The 23126-nt window shown below is 38.5% G+C and overlaps 1 long non-coding RNA gene across 1 annotated transcript in view; it reads right to left on the bottom strand.

Annotated features, from left to right (window-relative positions):
• LOC105377865 (uncharacterized) overlaps positions 1-23126 on the bottom strand; it is a 374941-nt gene that overhangs the window by 58044 nt on the left and 293771 nt on the right. The window lies entirely within an intron of this gene.

Consider the following 23126-nt stretch of genomic DNA (forward strand, 5'->3'; position numbering starts at 1 on the left):
TCCTTCTCCCAGACTTCCTACAAATCTACTAATGTATTTCATTATATTAGAATACAATGTATTTCACTCTATTAGAATGCCACACAATGACTTATCAATTTCCAATTTTTACCTCTTACCACAGAGTCTAACACATTATAAGTATTCAATAGACATATGTTGACTGACTAAATGAAAAATAGCTTTTGTTCTTCTCTGTGTTAAACAGTTCTAACTTAAAGAAAATGGAAGTTATCTATTGTGGACTTCAAATTGGTTGACTAGAAGCATTTCACGCTCACCTCCTCCACTTAAAAGATCCAAAATAGTGCGTAATCATACTTCAAATACATTATCCAAGAGATAACACTGGAATTCAACTGAAAAATGACAGGAAGAAACAAAAGCAAGGGAACAAAAAAAGAGAGACAGCCTGCTTGGCTGGTATGAGCTGGAAGCCAGGAGGAACTGCCCAATGTAGGGAATGAGTAAGTGAGAGATTCCCAGCATCTCACATTCCCAGCATGGAATCATGAAATCCTGGCAACAGGAGTCCCTCAACCCTTTCAAGACCTGAAACTAACATAAGGAGGTGCCAGGAGACAATGAGATGGAACCGCTTTAGGGAGAGAGCTTGCACTTGTTCTCGCACCCTTTCTGAGTCATAGGTGGCTACAGCAAAACACCATTTTCAATCCCAGACTTTATTAGACTGCATATTGTCCTTGGGCTCAGCAGCCCTTACACTGAAGTGCTAGGAAAACTTGGGCAGTTGCTGTTGGGACTGGGCCATGACCTGGGAATAGGCTGCTGCAGCCAAGGCTGAGAAGCCAGTGAGGTGTGGGCTTCAGCTACTGGTGTTGAGAAGCAAGTGCTGCCAGGACTGAGAAGGGGACACAAGTGGGACATGAGTTACCACTGGGACTTATGGTGGGTCTCCTGTAGCTGGGCCTGAGGTGTGAGCTAGGTGTGGGCTACCACTACCAGGGCTCAGAGATGAGACCCACTGTGACTAGGGCATGAGAGGGACATGTGTTCCCCACCAGCTAGCTTAGACTGTGGCCACTGAGTTTGGGCTCACCTTCCTCAGTGGGGCTAACACTACTGCTCACCCAGCATTCTACCTGGGTACTGAGGATCACCCTCAACCCACCAACCTTGGCTAGTGGCTGTTCTCACATTTGGGAGGCTTGAGCACAAGCCTGCCAAACCCAGCTTTGCCCCCATCTCTAAGACAGAGCACATGCTTCAAGGTCCTAGAGATTGCCCAAAGCAATTCACCACCCTGGGCACCTGAGCACTCCTCTTGGGGGCCTAATGTTCAGCTTAAACTCCTGGCTCTTCCCACCTTATCTGGCACCTACCTACAAGCACCACCTGAGGGCCCAGAGACTGGCCTACCCAGCCCACTGCAGCCACTACTAACATCAGTGTACATGATTTGGGACTCAAGAATCATCCTGCTAATGCTACTGGCATTGCGTATACAAACAAGCTGTCCAGGGACCCAGTAAATTGAAAACCTGCCTGGTCCATCTCTGCAACTATCAGCATTCAAGCTAGCCACCTGGAGGCCCAAGAATTGGCCCTCCAGTAACCACTACCACAGGTGCCAGTGTATGCCACCCTAAGGCATAAGGATCAGAATGCTCAGCCCACTGCTGCCATCACTAGGGCCTGAAGACTGGCTACGTGACATCCCCATCCCCAGTATTACTTTACTACAACCTCCACTAATAACTGCACCCTAACCCACTAAGGAAATCACAGATACCTCTAATGCTGTTTACAGTCAAAGAAATCATCCAGAGACTACACTATTGCATGTATACAGAATCAAATCCAAAGTGCCCTACCCAATCAACACCACAGATATATATTTGGGAAAAAGTCATCCTCTACAAAAGTCCATTCAAAAATATGAAAAAATGGCTATTACACCAGATGCACAGATATCAACATAAGGACACAGGAAAAATGCAAAAGCAAGAACATTTGACACCTGCAAAGGAACATAATGATTTTGCAGCAATAGATTTTTAATCAAGCAGAAATTCTCAAAATCTCAGATAAAGAATTCAACATATTAATTTTAAAGAAACTCAGTGAGATACAAGATAATTCTGAAAAATAATACAAATAAATCAGGAAATCAATTCAGTATATAAATGGGAAATTTTCCAAAGAGATAGATATTTTTAAAAAGAAACAAATAGAAACTCAGAAACTGAGGAATTCAATGAAAGAAATACAAAATGCATTAGAAAGCTTCAACAATAGACCAGACCAAGCAGAAGAAAGAATCATAGAAAATGAAGACTGGTCTTTTGAAATAATTCAGTCAGACAAAAATAAAGAAAAAAAACCATAAAAAAGAATGAGCAAAGCCTCCATGATGTTTGGGACAACAAAAAGTCACCAAATATTAAATTCTTTGTATCCCTGAGGGCAAATAGAGAATTAAAGAATTAGAAAACCTATTTAACGAAATAATAGATGAATGCTTGCTAGGCCTAGCAAGAGATTTAGACATCCAGAGACAGGAGACTCAGTGATATTCAAGCAGATACAATGCAAAAGGTCTTCTTCATGGCACATTATAACTAGACTGTCTAAACTCAAAGAGCAAAGCCTAAAAGCAGCAAGAGAAAAGTTTTTAGTCACCTATAAAGGAAACCCCATCAGATTTCACAGCAGAAACCTTACAGGGCAGAAGGAAATCAGATACTACATTCAAAGTACAGAAAGAAAATCATGACAGACAAGAATATTATTCAGCAAAATTATCCTTTACAAATAAACGGAAGATAAAGTATTTCCCAGAGAAGCAAATGTTGAGAGAATTTGTTACCACTAAACTGATTCTGCAAGAAATGCTCAAAGGAGTCCTATACCTGGAAGCAAAGGATGATATTTACCATTATGAAAACACAGAAAAGTATAAAACTCCTGGTTAAGCAATCACACAAAAGAGGAAGAGAAAAGACTCAAGTGGTATCACTACAGAAATCCACCAAACCACAATGACAAATATTAAGATAAAAAGAAAGAAACAGAAAATATGTAAAACAGCTAGAAAACAATTAGCAATGTGACAAAAACAAAGCCTTATATATATCAATATTAACCTTAGACAAAATGGATTAAATTCTCTATATAAAAGATATACAAAGATTTAGTGAATTTAAAAAATTGATCTAACTATCTGCTGCTTACAAGGAGTTCACCTTATCAGAAAAACTTATATAGACTGCTAGCAAAGGCATGGAAAGATGTTCCATGAAAAGAAACCAAAAGTGAAAAGAAGTAGCTTTATTTATATTAGATAAAACAAACTTTAAGTCAAAACATTTTTAAAAAGACAAAGCATATCCTTTTTTTGAATTGATGCCTTATATGGGCCTCATTATAATGATAAAGGCACCAATCCAGGAAAAGGATAAAACAATTCTAAATATATATGCAGCCAACATTAGAGGAACCAGAATTATAAAACAAATATTACTAGATCTAAAAAGAGAGGTGCACTACAATACAATAATAGTGGGGGACTTCAACACCCCACTCCCAGCATTAAACAGAACATCTAAGCAAAAAATAAAAACACTTTAGATTTAAACTGGACTTTAGACCAATGGACCTAACTAACATTTACAGAACATTTTTTCAACAGCTACAGAATTCACATTTTTCTAATCAGTGCATGGAACATTCTTCAGGATAGACTGTATGTTAGAAGAAGCCTCAACAAATCTAAAAAAAAAAAAAACATAATATCACATCAACTATCTTTGTAGAGTGCAAAATAAAAGTAAAAATCAATACAAAGAGGAACTTTGGAAACTACAAACACATACAAATTAAACAACATTCTCCTGAATCACTATTGTGTTAATGAATAAATTAAGATGGAAGTTTTAAAAATTTCTTGAAACGAGTGAAATTGGCAACACAACATGCCAAAACCTGTGAGATACCATAAAAACAGTTTGTAGGAATAAATGCCTACATCAAAGAAGTAGAAAGATAACAATCTAACAATGATCTTGAAGGAACTAGAAAATCAAGAACAAACCAAACCCCAAATAGCAGATGAAAAGAAATAATTAAGTACGGAGCAGTACTAAATGAAACAGAATTTTTTAAAAAATGCACAGGGCCAACAAAATGAAAATTGGTTCATTATAACTTAGACAAAAAGTTGCAGATTTTGTCAAACATGTGGAGGAAAATAAAACATGTCTTATATACAGTATGTTATTGGTGTGGATATAAATTACCACAGCCATTATTGAAAACTTGTGATTTCTCTAAAAACTGAGTTACCATTTGATTTAGAAATCCCAGTACTAGGTGTCTACCCAAAGGAAAAGAAATCAGTGTATCAAAGGGATATTTGTATTCACAAGCTTATTACAGCTTTAATGACAGTAGAAAATATATGAATTCAACCCATGTCCATCAATGGATGAGTGGATAAAAAATATATATATATTCCAATGTGAAATTAAATATATATGACTTCTATATAATGAAATATATTTATGTATAAATGCATTTATAAATATATATGTATATATTTATGTAATATATACTTATAAATATGAATATGTACATCTGTTATTAAATATATGTGTATATATATCACTTACATATACATTTCATTATTTTTTATGGTCATGTACTATTGCATTGTGTATGGATTGCAGAAACATGGATAGAGGAAATCACTATGTTAAGTGAAATAAGCTAGGCACCAAAAGACAAATATAACATGTTTTCTCACTTATATGTGGGAGTGAACACATTTGATCATGTAGAGATAAGGAGTGGGAAGACAGAGACTGGGAAGGGTGAGTGGGGGATATAGGGAAGGCTTAAGAGAAGTGTGTTGAAGGGTATGAGCATACAGTTAGAAAGAAGGAGCTAATTAAATGTTTTACAGTTGAGTAGGTTGACTACAGTTAACAAAAATGTATTGTACTCAGGCGATGGAAACTAACTGACTTGTTTACTATGCACTAGATATGTGTAATAAAACTTCACATGTACCCTATAATTTTGTACAACTAAAAAAAATCAAAATAAGAAAACAAAATGGATTTGCATGAGGTAGGTAAGTGGAGCTTACCATTTTAGATTTAGGAACTGTTATCACCATCAGCCTTACTCAAAACTGAAAAGTCTTATTTATCATAAGAAAATATATAGATATATAAAGATATTGATACAGAAATAATGCTGCACATTGAAACATTCAATTTTGTGATGGCTTGTCTGAAATTTTATGAAAATGTTATCAGAAAATAAAACAGTTTAAGAATGCATACCATCATTTTCAAATTATTTTATTAGCCCAATGATTCAATATATTTTAACCCCAATATCTCCTTTGCAATGTTTTATATGTTTAAAAATTCCCATGAAGATGGCATGTAATATCTACTGGATAATTTGATAACTGGATTTTTACAGTGTGAAGAAAATATGACAAACTGCTTAATTCCAAGTTGATTCAAAAAATAGATTTTGGTTTAAATGGTGTCCACTATTTGGTTCAAGAATAACAATTAAAAGAAAGAGGAGGTGCTGGGCACGGTGGCTCACACCTGTAATCCCAGAATATTGGGAGGCCGAGGCAGGCAATCACCTGAGGTCAGGAATTCAAGACCAGGCTGACCAACACGGAGAATCCCTGTCTCTACTAAAAATACAAAAAAAAAAAAAAAATTAGCTGGGCATGGTGGCACATGCCTGTAATCCCAGCTACTCAGGAGGCTGAGGCAGGAGAATCGCTTGAACCCAGGAGGTGGAGGTTGCAGTGAGCTGAGATCATGCCATTGCACTCGAGCCTGGGGAACAAGAGTGAAACTCTGTCTCAAAAAAAAAAAAAAACAACAACAAAAAAAGGAAGAGATAAGAAATTTGAAAGATGGCAGGGAGCAGTAGGAAGGATGAGAAGGAAAGGAAAATTTGTTTTTTTTCCATCTACATTGAATCTGTTTACTTGCGGTGTGCCCAAAACATGAAACAGGTTTTCAGAAAGTGTTCAGATTTAAAATCACTAATGTAACAAGTTCAAACCAAGTGTTTTTAATAATAAAGTAAAACACTAATCTGAATTTGATCAATCCATACCAAGACAGCCATTATAACAAGATCACCAGCAGTCACATCTGTAATTATTCAAGAGAAAGCACATGTTTTGAGATTCAGGAATGTAAAACATGAACTTGTTTTGTTGAATACATTAGAGAGTAAATTTGGCTCAGGCTGAAAATTAAAGCATGTTTCTAAATGTAAGGCACACCAAGAGACTGTTGTCTGGTAGTTTAGTAATTAAATTCCTCATGGAAACACTTTCATCATCTGTACAATTAGGATACTTTCATTTGCAAGTGTTAGAAACCCAACTCCAACTTAAGAAATGGAATTTAATGACTTACGTAATTGAGAAATCCCACAGGTGATGGTGGTTTAAGGCACAGCTGTTATTAGGCACTTAAAGATATTTTTCCCCTTCCTCTCCCTTTATTTCCCTTTCCTTTCTCTCTCTTTCCTCCTTTTTTCTTTACTTCTTCCCCTCCTCCCCTCCCCTTTCCGGCTCTCCTGTCCTCTCCTCTCTGCTCCCCTGTTCTCCCTTCCCTTCCCTCCCCTCCCCTTCCCTACCTTCCCCTCCCCTCCCCTCCTCTCCCCTCCTCTCTTCTCCGCTACTCCCCTCTCCTTCTCCTCTCTCTTCTTTCAATTTGTCCATTGCTCTTTCCTTCTCAACTTTATTTTATTCCTCTGTGTCTGCTTTATTCTTAGGCAAGCACTCTCTACGTAGTGAAAAAGTTGGCCATCAGGGATATAGAACTTAATTCTAAAAGCTAACCAACCTTAATAAGAAAGAGAACTGCTTTCGATAGCCCTGGCAAAAATCTCGTGGGAAATGTTGGCTTGCATGGCTGAGCCACTTAATCATCTCCGAACCAATCAAGGAAGTCTTAAATTTGTGGTGTTCTGATTGGCCAAGGATAGGGTGCATGACCCCAAATGACGCTAGGAGAAAAGAGAATCAACTGCTTTCAAACTTTGGGTCTGTTTAGGCACAAGTAATTAGTGGTACATGATAGCAGTGCTTCTGAAACTTTTATGTGTATTGATTCCAATTAATATGCATTTGTTAAAAATGCATTTTATTATACTTTAAGTTTTAGGGTACATGTGCACAATGTGCAGGTTAGTAACATATGTATACATGTGCCATGTTGGTGTGCTGCACCCATTAACTTGTCATTTAACATTAGGTATATCTCCTAATGCTATCCTTCCCCCCTCCCCCCACCCCACAACAGTCCCCGGTGTGTGATGTTCCCCTTCCTGTGTCCATGTCTTCTCATTGTTCAATTCCCACCTATGAGTGAGAACATGTGCTGTTTGGTTTTTTGTCCTTGCAATAGTTTGCTGAGAATGATGGTTTCCAGCTTCATCCATGTCCTTACAAAGGACATGAACTCATCATTTTTTATGGCTGCATAGTATTCCATGGTGTACATGTGCCACATTTTCTTAATCCAGTCTATCATTGTTGGACATTTGGGTTGGTTCCAAGTCTTTGCTATTGTGAATAGTGCCACAATAAACATACGTGTGCATGTGTCTTTATAGCAGCATGATTTATAATCCTTTGGTTATATACCCAGTAATGGGATGGCTGGGTCAAATGGTATTTCTAGTTCTAGATCCCTGAGGAATCGCCACACTGACTTCTACAATGCTTAAACTAGTTTACAGTCCCAACAACAGTGTAAAAGAGTTCCTATTTCTCCAGCACCTGTTGATCCCTCCTATCCTCTCCAGCAGCTGTTGTTCCCTGACTTTTTAATAATCGCCATTCTAACTGGTGTGAGATGGTATCTCATTGTGGTTTTGATTTGCATTTCTCTGATGGCCAGTGATGATGAGCATTTTTTCATGTGTCTTTTGGCTGCATAAATGCCTTCTTTTCAGAAGTGTCTGTTCATATACTTTGCCCACTTTTTGATGGGGTTGTTTGTTTTTTTCTTCTAAATTTGTTGGAGTTCATTGTAGATTCTGGATATTAGCCCTTTGTCAGATGAGTAGATTGCAAAAATTTTCTCCCATTCTGTAGGTTGCCTGTTCACTCTGATGGTAGTTTCTTTTGCTGTGCAGAAGCTCTTTAGTTTAATTAGATCTCATTTGTCAATTTTGGCTTTTGTTGCCATTGCTTTTGGTGTTTTAGAAATGAAGTCCTTGCCCATGCCTATGTCCTGAATGGTATTGCCTAGGTTTTCTTCTAGGGTTTTTATGGTTTTAGGTCTAACATTTAAGTCTTTAATCCATCTTGAATTAATTTTTGTATAGGGTGTAAGGAAGGGATCAGTTTCAGCTTTCTACATATGGCTAGCCAGTTTTCCCAGCACCATTTATTAAATAGGGAATCGTTTCCCCATTTCTTCTTTTTGTCAGGTTTGTCAAAGATCAGATGGTTGTAGATACGCAGCATTATTTCCGAGGGCTCTGTTCTGTTCCATTGGTCTCTATCTCTGTTTTGGTACCAGTACCATGCTGTTTTGGTTACTGTAGCCTTGTAGTATAGTTTGAAGTCAGGTAGTGTGATGCTTCCAACTTTGTTCATTAGGCTTAGGATTGACTTGGCAATGTGGGCTCTTTTTTGGTTCCATATGAACTTTAAAGTAGTTTTTTCCAATTCAGTGAAGAAAGTCATCGGTAGCTGGATGGGGATGGCATTGAATCTATGAATTACCTTGGGCAGTATGGCCATTTTCACGATATTGATTCTTCCTACCCAAGAGCATGGAATGTTCTTCTATTTGTTTGTATCCTCTTTTATTTCATTGGGCAGTGGTTTGTAGTTCTCCCTGAGGAGGTCCTTCACCTCCCTTGTAAGTTGGATTCCTAAGTATTTTATTCCTTTCGAAGCAATTGTGAATGGGAATTCACTCATGATTTGGCTCTCTGTTTGTCTGTTATTGGTGTATAAGAATGCTTGTGATTTTTGTACATTGATTTTGTATCCTGAGACTTTGCTGAAGTTGCCTATCAGCTTAAGGAGATTTTGGGCTGAGACAATGGGGTTTTCTAAGTATACAGTCATGTCATCTGCAAACAGGGAAAATTTGACTTCCTCTTTTCCTAATTGAATACCCTTTATTTCCTTCTCCTGCCTGATTGCCCTGGCCAGAACTTCCAACACTATGTTGAATAGGAGAGGTGAGAGAGGGCATCCCTGTCTTGTGCCAGTGTTCAAAGGGAATGCTTCCAGTTTTTGCCCATTCAGTATGATATTGGCTGTGGGTTTTCATAAATAGCTCTTATGATTTTGAGATACGTCCCATCAATACCTAATTTATTGAGAGTTTTTAGCATGAAGGTTGTTGAATTTTGTCAAAGGCCTTTTCTCCATCTGTTTAGATAATCATGTGGTTTTTGTCATTGGTTCTGTTTATATGCTGGATTACGTTAATTTTTTTGCACATGTTGAACCAGACTTGCATCCCAGGGATGAAGCCCACTTGATCATGGTGGATAAGCTTTTTGATGTGCTGCTGGATTCGGTTTGCCAGTATTTTATTGAGGATTTTTGCATCAATGTTCATCAGGGATATTGGTCTAAAATTCTCTTTTTTGGTTGTGTCTCTGCCAGGCTTTGGTATCAGGATGATGCTGGCCTCATGAAATGAGTTAGGGAGGATTCCCTCTTTTTCTGTTGATTGGAAAAATTTCACAAGGAATGGTACCAGTTCCTCCTTGTACGTCTGGTAGAATTTGGCTGTGAATCCATCTGGTCCTGGACTTTTGTTGGTTGGTAAGCTATTAATTATTGCCTAACTTTCAGAGCCTGTTACTGGTCTATTCAGAGATTCAACTTCTTCCTGGTTTAGTCTTGGGCGGGTGTATGTGTCGAAGAGTTTATCCGTTTCTTCTAGATTTTCTAGTTTATTTGCATAGAGGTGTTTATGGTATTCTCTGATGGCAGTTTGTATTTCTGTGGGATCGGTGGTGATATCCCCTTTATCATTTTTCATTGTGTCTATTTGATTCTTCTCTTTTCTTCTTTATTAGTCTTGCTAGTGGTCTATCAATTTTGTTTATCTTTTCAAAATCCATCTCCTGGATTCATTGATTTTTTGAAGGGTTTTTTGTGTCTCTATTTCCTTCAGCTCTTCTCTGATCTTAGTAATTTCTTGCCTTCCGCTAGCTTTTGAATGTGTTTGCTCTTGCTTCTCTAGTTCTTTTAATTGTGATGTTAGGGTGTCAATGTTAGATCTTTCCTGCTTTCTCTTGTGGGCATTTAGTGCTATAAATTGCCCTCTACACACTGCTTTAAATGTGTTCCAGAGATTCTGGTGTGTTGTGTCTGTGTTCTCGTTGGTTTCAAAGAACATTTGTATTTCTGCCTTCATTTCATTATGTACAAAGTAGTCATTCAGGAGCAGGTTGTTCAGTTTCCACATAGTTGAGCAGTTTTGAGTGAGTTTCTTAATCCTGAGTTCTAGTTTGATTGCACTGTGGTCTGAGAGACAGTTTGTTATAATTTCTGTTCTGTTCCATTTGCTGAGGAGTGCTTTACTTCCAGCTATGTGGTCAATTTTGGAACAGGTGTGGTGTGGTGCTGAAAAGAATGTATATTCTGTTGATTTGGGGTGGAGAGTTCTGTAGATGTCTATTAGGTCTGCTTGGTGCAGAGCTGAGTTCAATTCCTGGATATCCTTGTTAACTTTCTGTCTCGCTGATCTGTCTAATGTTGACAGTGGGGTGTTAAAGTCTCCCATTATTAATGTGTGGGAGTCTAAGTCTCTTTGTAGGTCTCTAAGGACTTGCTTTCTGAATCTGGGTGCTCCCATATTGGATGCATATATATTTAGGATAGTTAGCTCTTCTTGTTGAATTGTTCCCTTTACCCTTATGTAATGGCCTTCTTTGTCTCTTTTCATCTTTGTTGGTTTAAAGTCTGTTTTATCAGAGACTAGGGTTGCAACCCCTGCCTTTTTTTGTTTTCCATTTGCTTGGTAGATCTTCCTCCATCCCTTTGTTTTGAGCCTATGTGTGTCTCTGCACTTGAGATGGGTTTCCTGAGTACAGCACACTGATTGGTCTTGACTCTTTATCCAATTTGCCAGCCTGTGTCTTTTAATTGGAGCATTTAGCCCATTTACATTTAAGGTTAATATTGTTATGTGTGAATTTGATCCTGTCATTATGATGTTAGCTGGTTATTTTGCTTGTTAGTTGATGCAGTTTCTTCCTAGCCTTGACGGTCTTTACAATTTGGCATGTTTTTGCAGTGTCTGGTACCGGTTTTTCCTTTCCATGTTTAGTGCTTCCTTCAGGAGCTCTTTTAGGGAAGGCCTGGTGGTGACAGAATCTCTCAGCATTTGCTTGTCTGTAAAGGATTTTATTTCTCCTTCACTTGTGAAGCTTAGCTTGGCTGGATATGAAATTCTGGGTTGAAAATTCTTTTCTTTAAGAATGTTGAATGTTGGCCCCCACTCTCTTCTGGCTTGTAGAGTTTCTGCCAAGAGATCAGCTGTTAGTCTGATGGGCTTCCCTTCATGGGTAACCCGACCTTTCTCTCTGGCTGCCCTTAACATTTTTGCCTTCATTTCAACTTTGGTGAATCTGACAATTATGTCTCTTGGAGTTGCTCTTCTCAAGGAGTATCTTTGTGGCACTCTCTGTATTTCCTGAATTTGAATGTTGCCCTGCCTTGCCAGGTTGGGGAAGTTCTCCTGGATAATATCCTGAAGAGTGTTTTCCAACTTGGTTCCATTCTCCCCATCACTTTCAGGTACACCAATCAGACATAGATTTTGTCTTTTCACATAGTCCCATATTTCTTGGAGGCTTTGTTCGTTTCTTTTTATTCTTTTTTCTCTAAACTTCTCTTCTCGCTTCATTTCATTCATTTGATCTTCCATCACTGATACCCTTTCTTCCAGTTGATCAAATCGGCTACTGAGGCTTGTGCATTCGTCATGTAGTTCTCGTGCTGTGGTTTTCTGCTCCATCAGGTCCTTTAAGGACTTCTCTGCATCGGTTATTCTAGTTAGCCATTCGTCTAAATTTTTTTCAAGGTTTTTAACTTCTTTGCCATGGGTTCAAACTTCCTCCTTTAGCTCAGAGTAGTTTGATCATCTGAAGCCTTCTTCTCTCAACTCGTCAAAGTCATTCTCCATCCAGCTTTGCTGGTGAGGAGCTGCGTTCCTTTGGAGGAGGAGAGGTGCTCTGATTTTTAGAGTTTCCAGTTTTTCTGCTCTGTTTTTTCCCCATCTTTGTCGTTTTATCTACTTTTGGTCTTTGATGATGGTGACGTACAGATGGGGTTTTGGTGTGGATGTCCTTTCTGTTTGTTAGTTTTCTTCTAACAGTCAGGACCCTCAGCTACAGGTCTGTTGGAGTTTGCTGGAGGTCCACTCCAGACCCTGTTTGCCTTTGCCTGGGTATCAGCAGTGGAGGCTACAGAACAGCAGATATTGGTGAACAGCAAATGTTGCTGCCTGATCATTTCTCTGGAAGTCTTGTCTCAGAGGAGTACCCAGCCATGTGAGGTGTTAGTCTGCCCCTACTGGGGGGTGCCTCCCAGTTAGGCTACTTGGGGTTCAGGGACCCACTTGAGGAGGCAGTCTGTCCTTTGTCAGATCTCCAGCTGTGTGCTGGGAGAACCACTACTCTCTTCAAAGCTGTCAGACAGGGACATTTAAGTCTGCAGAGGATTCTGCTGCCTTTTGTTTGGTTATGCCCTGCCCCTAGAGGTGGAGTCTACAGAGGCAGACAGGCCTCTTTGAGCTGCGGTGGGCTCCACCCAGTTTGAGCTTCCCGGCCACTTTATTTACCTACTCAAGCCTCATCAATGGCGGGCGCCCCTCCCTCAGCCTTGCTGCCACCTTGCAGTTTGATCTCAGACTTCTGTGCTAGCAATGAGCGACGCTCCCTGGGTGTAGGACCCTCTGAGCCAGGCGCGGGATATAATCTCCTGGTGTGCCGTTTGCTAAGACCATTGGAAAAGCGCAGTATTAGGGTGGGAGTGACCTGATTTTCCAGTTGCCGTCTGTCACCCCTTTCTTTGACTAGGAAAGGGAATTCCCTGACCCCTTGCGCTTCCCTCACCCTGCTTTGGTGCATGCTGGTTGCACTGCGCCCCCTGTCCTGCACCCACTTTCCGACACTCCTCAGTGAGATGAACCCGGTACCTCAGTTGGAAATGCAGAAATCACCCGTCTTCTGCGTCGCTCATGCTGGGAGCTGTAGACTGGAGCTGTTCCTCTAAAAATGCATTTTTATATGCGTTTTTACATGCATTTATATGCATATAAAAATGCATTTTTAACAAATGCATATTAATTCAGTAAGTGAGATGTGAGACCAGAAATTCTAACCTTCAAGAAACTCTCAGGTGATTTTATGCTGCTGGTTTGGGAGGCATAGTTTGAAAACCATGGCTAGTTGGTAAAAGGATACGAGACAGCCAAAAGCAACAGAAGAGAGATAGAAATTAAACTATCCAAATAGGTTTAGATGAATTTCATAATTATAATTTCAGACACATATACTTGATAAAAATTTAAATTTTGAATTAGAACAGAAGCAGCCCTTCATGATTCCACATATACCAAAGGAAATCTTAAAAAGAGTTACATAAAGAATGAATAGCATGACTTAAGTCTGGGTTTGCACAGAGGACTATGTTATTTATATAAATACAATAGATTATGAAATACCCTATGCTAAACTACATGGTAAATTCTGCCATGGTTGCAAATATATTTTCATGTTAAAAATATAGCTTTCATTTACATATATTTTTACATATTATTCAATAATATGTATACTATATAGCTCAATTTCTGCTGAAATAATTCCACACCACAGTATACAAATACAGAAAAAAACTTTCTAGGTCACAACTGACTATCCTATTATTTTAAATCAAAGCTCATGAAAGTATTCTTGTACACAATAAAATTTAAATAGCCTACTACCAATGACTGAGAATTAGTAAGCAGAAGGGGTGCCAAGGTCTGGGTCTATGGATGTCAGAGAGGCACCCCTGTGACTATTTTGCCTACATTTCACATCTCCCGGGTTGCTTGCTAGTCAAATGAACCCAGTAAGTAGATGAGCACATGATCAGATACAATGAATTTTTCAGTCATTGTCAAAACGGTCAAAGAACTACAAAAAAAAAACAAAAAAAACCTATGTTGTAAGTGAAATCTTAAGTCCATGTTATTTTTTTTCTGATTTCAAACTACCTGAAAATTCAACTAGTGTTGAAATGCAATTGTTATGGTCTACATTCAGCTTACTACATTTGTAAGAAAGAAATCACAAGTAAATGCGTCAATGTAAGGAATTTGTTTTTAGGAATATGTAGAATATGACCTATTAGGGACTGGGATAATTCAACCAATTCAATTAATATTTTGTCTGGATTATTAAACTGATTTGATGCTATATAAATAAACATATTTACATTTCAAGTACATATTTTTATGTGAGAAATGAATGTAAGACAAAGTGGAGACATGCTTAAAGAAGCATTAATATTCAGAAAACTTGTAGGAAATAATGAACAATTACTTCCTCTGGAGAATGAACCTGGGTGATGGAGGGCTAGTAGGAAGAATTAATGTTTTTGTGGGTGTTTTTTGCATCTTACTATTAGTGTACATTAATTTATTTGAAATTTTAACGAACTCTAGTACCTTGTCCATCAATTAATTTAATCAGTATTTTTAAGAGCTAACATTATGAAGAAGAAACTTTGCAGGAGGCAGAAGTGATGGTGAATGACACTGACTTGAGCCCCATCTCATGCAGTTTACAGCATATCTGGGCAAGCAGACATTAGACACATGTTTATAAGTTCAATAGCTAGCACAAATGGGAAGTATAAGTGTGGCCAGTTGGAGTTATTCTCAAGAGTAAGGTGACATATCTTAGTTTTCAAAAATTGAATTGTGTCTTATGTCATTTTCTTATATACATTGCTCTAAATTCTTTTCTAAAATTATTTTTTGAAATTTTGCTGTGTTTACAGGAAACCTCACCTATAATGAGCATATTTATTGAACCTCATTTCTATCTTCTCAAACTGGTTTATCCTAAAAATTGAATTTCCTTGAATAACCTTGAATCTGAATTACCATATATGAGCAATAATAAGGCACCTTCTAAGACACAACCCCTTAAGTGTTTCAGTCATTTTTATGGTCAGTTCAAGCCTCAGCACCAAAAATTTAATTGTATATGCAGCAAGCAGTCATTGTTACAATGTGCCTAAGAATGCTTACTGTGATGATTTCTTTTAGGTGTCAACTTGACAGAATTAAGGAACACGTAGAAGCTTGGGAAAGTATTGTTTTTGGGTGTGTCTTTAAGGTTGTTTCCAAAGATTAGCATGTGAGTCTAAGAGGACTAGGTGAGGAAGATTTGTCCTCAGTGTGGCTTCTTACTCTTACTTCTTACTTCTTTATTTAGTCACTTATCTTCTCAGCTGTAGAACTGGTAATATGTGCTCATAATATGTACTGTAAAGGATTATTTGAAGATCCAGTGGGATCACATTATATAAAGCACTTTCTGGTATCTGACTTCAAATGACAGAAATTGTTACTATTGTACTAGCTTACAAATGCAATGGGTGGGCACCATCCAATCTTCTGGGAGTTCAGAGAAAACAAAAACAGGAAAAGGCTAATGTGTCCATCCAGCTGCAACTGTGTAACGTTCTTCCTCTCCTGTTCTTGGATGAAAACTCCAGTTTCATGGCCTCTGGACTCCAGGACTTAAAGCAGCAGCCTCCTGAGTTCTCAGGCCTTTGGTCTCAGACTGAGATTTACATCATTCACTTCCCTGGTTCTTAGACCTGGGAGCTTGGACTGAGCCATGCTACCAGCATCCCAGGGCCTTCAGCTTGCAGATGGCCGTCTCAAGATTTCTCAGTCTCCATAATGACGTGAGCCAATCCCCCTGATAAATTTCCTGTCACCTATCTGTCTATCTGTCCATCTATCTACCCATCTATCTATCTATCTTTCTGTCTATCTCCTATTGACTCTCTCTGGAGAATCCTAATACACTCTCTAATAATATCATATACTAGATTAACCATATGTTCTGTTCTGAAACACATTAAAATAAAGTACAAACATGGAGAAAGGGAATGGCCTCGGATAAGACATTCTTCAACATTAATACCAACTCTGTCTCTTATTTACTCAGTTACTTATTTTCTCCACTGTAAAATTGGTAAATACGTGCTGATAATAAGTGCTGCAAAGGATTATTTGAAGATCCAGTGGGATAACATTATATAAAGCACCTTCTGGTAGCTGACTTCAAATGACAGAAACCACTACTATTGTGCTAGATTACATATGGCAATGGCTACCTGAAATCTTTTTTTCAATTCTCTTGTGCATTTGACACTCCTCATGTTTTTGATAGGTTTTATTAAATAACAAGAAGATAGGTGAACAAAATTACTTTCAAAAAATTTACTACTACTATTAGTCCCTACAGCCAATGGTACTCTAATTCATCATAGCCTAAAATACAGACTCAGAAGAAGCCACAGAGTAAACCCATGGTATTCCGCCACCACAGTTTCAGTCATCCTTCATCTTGCTAGAATGTCAGCTTGTGTTAGTCTGCTCGCATAACCATAAAGAAATATCTGAGGCTGAGTAACTTACAAAGACAAGCGGATTATTTGGCTTACGGTTCTGCAGGGTGTACAAGAAGCATGGCACCAACATCTGCTTCTGGTAAGGGCCTCAGGAAGCTATAAGTCACGGCAGAAGGGAAAGGGGGAGCAGGTGTGTCACATGGTGAAGCAGTGAGCAAGAGAGGATGGGTGTTATGCTCTTTTAAACAACCAGCCCTCCTGTAAACTCATATAGTGAGAACTTACTCATTACCTCAAGGAAGGGAGCAAGCTATTCATGAAGGATCCACTTCCCACTAGGCCCCACCAGGCCCCACCTCCAACATTGCGAATAAAATTTCAACATGAGATTTGAAGAAGACAAATATCTAAAGTGTATCACAGCTTGATTAAGAAATAGCACAAGACTGCAAGATCTGAGTTTTAGTTTTTATTTGTCCATAGCTTGCATAATCATGTGTAAGAACTTGACTGCCATAACTTTTGGCTTATCCGTGTGTAAAATGTAATGGACCTATGTTGGCATTAATAACTGCATGTTTTGGGGACTAAATTATGTTTTTCTTCTCCATATATACTCAATTCATTTCCTTTTGGTTCCCTGAATGTGTACATTATCTTATTGTTCTGAGAAAAAGCTGCTAATTAGAAAGGATATTTTTTAGCATTGTTATTTTTTAGAGAAGGGTACATTATGTAAACAAGTTTGGTGACACATATTTACTTTATAGGCCTCACATCATACTTACAACAGGTAGGGTTACATAAAAGTAGTATTATATATTATAATATCTTGTGCAGATGGCTCCCTAGTGACTACACTGATCTTATCTAGTGTAAGTTCGTGTAACTCTACAGTACTTATAGCAGAATGAATCAGTGTTTCCATGTGGCTACAGAATGTTTTTCAGGCTCATTTATAATATTTAGTAACAATAAAATGAATGCATTATTAATACAGATAGGCCTTTAAATGGACTTGGAGAATAATTGCTAAGAGTGCGGAATGAGGTGGGGAAAATTAGCTGCCCACCAAAAATGTATGACCTCCTTCAGTAGTTGGGAATTTATTTTTAAGAAGTGACTGCCCAGTAATGGACTACACTTGCCCATCATTCTTGCATCTCAGTGGGGTCTCATGACTAATTCGTATCTGTAAAACATGGGACAAATTTATGTGGGTCACTTTTCTGCCAAGGTGGCTTGAAGTAGGAATACTTTTATATTTTTTTTCTCTCTTTACCCACTGACTCTCCATCCAGGGCAACTTGCTGTCTCTCTCCACCAGCTGAATAATCACCCAGGAAGATATGTGTTGGCAATGGCACAACCCTCATCATCCTGGTTCCCTAAATGACTGTGAAGTAGAACCCTATACTTCAACAGCCAAGAGCATCTGCATAGGACTATACATCAATGAAAAAATAAACATTCATTGTCTTAGGGTACTGAGTTTCAGTTTTTATTTGCCCATAGCTTGTATAATCATGGACAAGAACTTGACTGCCCTAGCTTATTTGGGAGCTGGTTTGTTAAAACAGCAAGCATTACCCTACCTAACATAGAAGAGATACATCTGACTCAAGGAGCTAGAGAAGGGAGAGACTATTTCACAAATCAGAGAATAATCTAAGTGTGTAAAGAATACGGGAAACTTGAGCTTTGGCCTTAAAACAGTTAAATCAAGCTGGGTACAGTGGATCATGCCTGTAATTCCAACCATTTGGAAGGCTGATGTGGGAGGATTGCTTGAGCCCAGGAGTTCAAAGCCAGCCTGGGCAACATAGGGAGACCCTGTTTCTATGAAAAAAGAAAAATTTAGCCTGATATTTTGGCGCATGCCTGTGGTCCCAGCTACTGGGTAGGTTGAATCACTTGAGTGCAGGAGTTTGAGGCTGCAGTGAGCCATGATTGTGCCACTGCCCTCCAGACTGGGTGGCACAGCGAGACCTTGTCTTAAAAAGTAAATAAATAAATAATAAAACATTACATATCAACTCATACAAGCAAACCCAAAATGAACCAGTTGTCTTGGGTATAAATTTTTAAAAATGAGAGTTACTAAGGAATTTCCCTAAATATTTATTTCCTAAAGCTAAATATATTGATGTATATTAAGCATTAACTTTAAATATTAGTATTCCCCTTAAAAATCATAGTGATAATTTGCTGCTAGCAAAATAATACTTTTTTTTCTTTTTACTGAAGAGAGAAAGAGAGAGAGAAAGAGGAGTCTTGCTGTATTGCCCAGGCTGGTCTCAAATTCCTGGGTTCAAGCGATTGGCCCATGTCGGCCTCCCAAAGTGCTGGGATTACAGGTGTGAGCCACCATGCTTGACCAGTAAAATAATGTTTACATGATGATATAATACATTTGTTCTTATAGCTATAAACCTAAAAAGTGTGCTGGCTGTTAGTAGTATCATTTTCTAACATATCTAGAATTATGCTAAGAAATGCTTAAGATAAATAACTATTTCACTTTTCACTAAAAGGGAGTCAACATTTATTCCCTGGTTTCAGAGGAACTACTACCTTTCAATACAATAGCTCTTATAAAGAATTATTTTTCTATCACCAAATTATATTCATGCTGTTAACTTATGTTTTATGGGAGAAATATTCATCCCCCAGCACAGAAAGAATGTGGGATAGATTGACTCTTCAGAGGAAGATGGGTCTCATTAGTAGGTTAGTTAACCCCAAATGTTCAAAAAGCATGTGATACAGAGTAAGACAGCAAATACACAGTCACACAAGGTTTATGCTTGTGTGGCAGTTTGACCAGATTTTCTTTTCTTGATCTCTTTGTTTTGCCCCTCCACCATTTTCCCATACCACTATTTGACAGGAATAAAAAAAAAAAGGATAAGTATGTCAGTAAGTACATTTTGTTACTTCTTAAACTTGAGAAAGATCAGAAAAGAGACAGAATTTTTTTTTATCAGAATGCAGAAAAAGAGTCTATGAAGGCTCTGAGATTTTTATCTTCTTTGTAAGCTAACAAGCCAGCCTGTCACAGTTTCATAAATGCCTGCAGAAAATACAAGATGCTTGGGTCAGGAGCAAAGAAGCTTATTAGACATTAACAGTAGCCACATTATCAGCATTTATCATTCTTCTTCCTCAGTCCTAATTTCCACAGAGATATGAAGAGGATAAGATACCACTGGCACATACAATGGACTGCGTTACAGGAGAGGAACCCTGAGCTTAGGGAACCTGAATCTTTTCTGATGAATGGCTAGCATGCCAACATTTTGCTGTGGAGGGTAGCACTGTCTCTATCTCCCAAGGCTACAAGCAAGCCTCTCTTGGTTCTGGACAAAAACACCATTTCTGTCTTCCAAGGCTATTTACCATACAGACATCCTTGAAATGAAAATAGTTCAAAATAAAAGAGGACAAACAGGGTCTCACTCACAAGATGTGCAGAAATGCAAAAAGACACATGGGAGCGAAAGTTATTTCTCTTTGTCTTTCTTTTGGTGTATGTGTTCGTATGTGCATATTTTATTATATATTATCAATTGTGCATGTTTATATTTATATGTAACTATATATTTATATTTTAATATATTAGGTATATTTATAATTTATATTTAATATATTAATATATGCTTATATCCTATTTTATATTTATTATGTATTTATGTTCTACATTAAATATATATTTAAGGTAAATATTTGGTTGGTAAATAGCTAATTCATTCAACAAAAAAGTAAGTACTCATTAATTCCTATTAAAAATAGTCTCACTGTGCCTTAGCTCCCTCACTTCTCATACTAAGACAATAAGAGTATTCACTAATTGAATTAATATGAAGTTTAAATGAGACAGTGCAGGTAAAGCACAACAAATTGTAGTTGGTTTACATGTCAGTCCAAAACATGTTAGTACATTATTCTATTATTATGCTAATGTTTATATTTTATTATGTAACTACTTATTTTACTAGACAATTATTAATAGTTCATTTATAATTACTATCACACATGTCTACTTAGATAGATACATATAAATTGCCTTGTTACATATAAAATACTTTTTGCATTACAAATATATTATACCTACAATTCAATTCATCTTCTAAAGAACTTAACTAGAATGCTCTTCTTCAGAATGTAGAAAGGTCTGTTTATTTTATTACTATTAATTGAAGTAAACTAAAGTTGAAGTGTGGAATCAAGTTAAAACAAAAGAAAGATACTAGCATGGGATAATTCCCTCCTATTTTGTTGATAGAATACTTTTAATAAACTGAGATCCACCAAAGTATGGAAAAGGAAACAGATGCACGATATGGAAAAGAAAGGACTTTTATTAAAGGCAATATGATTTTTCCTTCAAAGAGTATTCATGTAGAGCCTGTTCAAAGGGAGTAAAATCCATTTCCCTGCAAAAGAATACATCAGAGGATGGATCCTTTTTTATATATACTTGCATTTACCAAGAATTTCCTTTCTAATAGGAGGACTAAGTCCTGCTGCCAAACATATGCTGCTATAAGTGGCATTTTGCCAGTTTCTCAGTGGCTTTGATCATCTTTCATTTCTCAAGGAATGAAAACTTAGTGGGAAGGGGAAGCTCAGGTAATAGTGAAATTAGTACTATTAGTACTATGTGTATAGGGTTGGGGTTGTGGGTGGGAGTAATTTACACATGGAGACAGCAGGACAGTAAAACCTATAGAATTTATTCTTTCTTTAAAAATTGACGTGGGTTTTCCTGGGCAAGACAGCCGAATAGGAACAGCTCCTATCTGCAGCTCCCAGCAAGACCAATGCAGAAGGCGGGTGATTTCTTCATTTCCAACTGAGGTACCTGGTTCATCTCACTGGGACTGGTTAGACAGTGGGTGCAGCCCACAGAGGGCAAGCAGAAGTAGGGTGGGGCTTCACCTCACCTGAGAAGCACAAGGGGTCAGGGAACTCCCTTCCCTAGCCAAGGGAAGCCATGAGGGACCATGCCGTGAGGGACGGTGCCATCTAGCCCAGATACTATACTTTTCCCATGGCCTTTGCAACCCACAGACCAGGAGATTCCCTCGGGTGCCTATACCACAAGGGCCCTGGGTTTCAAGCACAAAACTGGGCACCCATTTGGGCAGACACCGAGGTAGCTGCAGGAGTTTTTTTTCAAACCCCAGTGGCACCTGGAACACTAGCAAGATAGAACTGTTCACTCCCCTGGAAAGGGGGCTAAAGCCAGGGAGCCGAGTGGTCTTGCTCAGCCTCACAGTGTAAACAAAGCTGCTGGGAAGTTCAGCCTGGGTAGAGCTCACTGCAGCACCACACAGCCACTGTAGCCAGACTGCCTCTCTAGATTCCTCCTCTCTGGGCAGGACATCTTTGAAAGAAAGGCAGCAGCCCCAGTCAGGGGCTTATAGATAAAACTGCCATCTCCCTGGGACAGAGCACCTGGGTGAAGGGGCAGCTGTGGGTGCAACTTCAGTAGACTTAAAACGTTTCTGCCTGCCAGCTCTGAAGAGAGCAGCAGATCTCCCAGCACAGCACTTGAGCTCTGCTAAAGGACAGACTGCCTCCTCAAGTGGGTCCCTGACCCCCATACCTCCTGACTGGGAGACACCTCCCAGCAGGGGTCAACAGACACCTCATACAGGAGAGCTCCAGATGGCATCCGGCAGGTGCCCCTCTAGGACAAAGTTTCCAAAGGAAGGAGCAGGCAGTAATCTTTGTTGTTCTGCAGCCTCTGCTGGTAATACCAAGGCAAAAAGGGTCTGGAGTGGACCCCCAGCAAACTCCAGCCGACCTGAAGAAGAGAGTCCTGACTGTTAGAAGGAAAACTAAAAAACCAAAAGCAATAGCATCAACATCAACAAAAAGGACATCCACAGAGAAACCCCATCCGAAGGTCACCAACATCAAAGACCAAAGGTAGATAAATCCATGAAGATGAAGAAAAACCAGTGCAAAAATGCTGAAAATTCCAAAAAACAGAATGCCTTTTCTCCTCTCAAGGATCACAACTCCTCACCAGCAAGGGAACAAAACTAGACAGAGAATGAGTTTGATGGATTGACAGAAGTAGGCTTAGAAAGTGGGTAATAATAAACTTCTCTGAGCTAAAGGAGCACGTTCTAACTCAATTCAAGGAAGCTAAGAACTTTGAAAAAAGGTTACAGGAATTGCTAACTAGACCCAATGCAAGGAAGCTAAGAACCTTGAAAAAAGGTTAGAGGAATTGCTAACTAGAATAACCATTTTAGAGAAGAACATAAATGACCCGATGGAGCTGAAATATGCAGCACAAGAACTTCGTGAAGCATACAAAAGTATCAATAGCCAAACTCATGAAGTGGAAGAAAGGATATCAGAAATTGAAGATCAACTTAATGAAATAAAGCGTGAGGACAAGATTAGAGAAAAAAGAATGAAAAGGAACAAACAAAGCCTCCAAGAAATATCAAACTATGTGAAAAGACCAAAC

Source organism: Homo sapiens, chromosome 6 (assembly GCF_000001405.40).
Source record: "Homo sapiens chromosome 6, GRCh38.p14 Primary Assembly".
Taxonomy (NCBI): domain Eukaryota; kingdom Metazoa; phylum Chordata; class Mammalia; order Primates; family Hominidae; genus Homo; species Homo sapiens.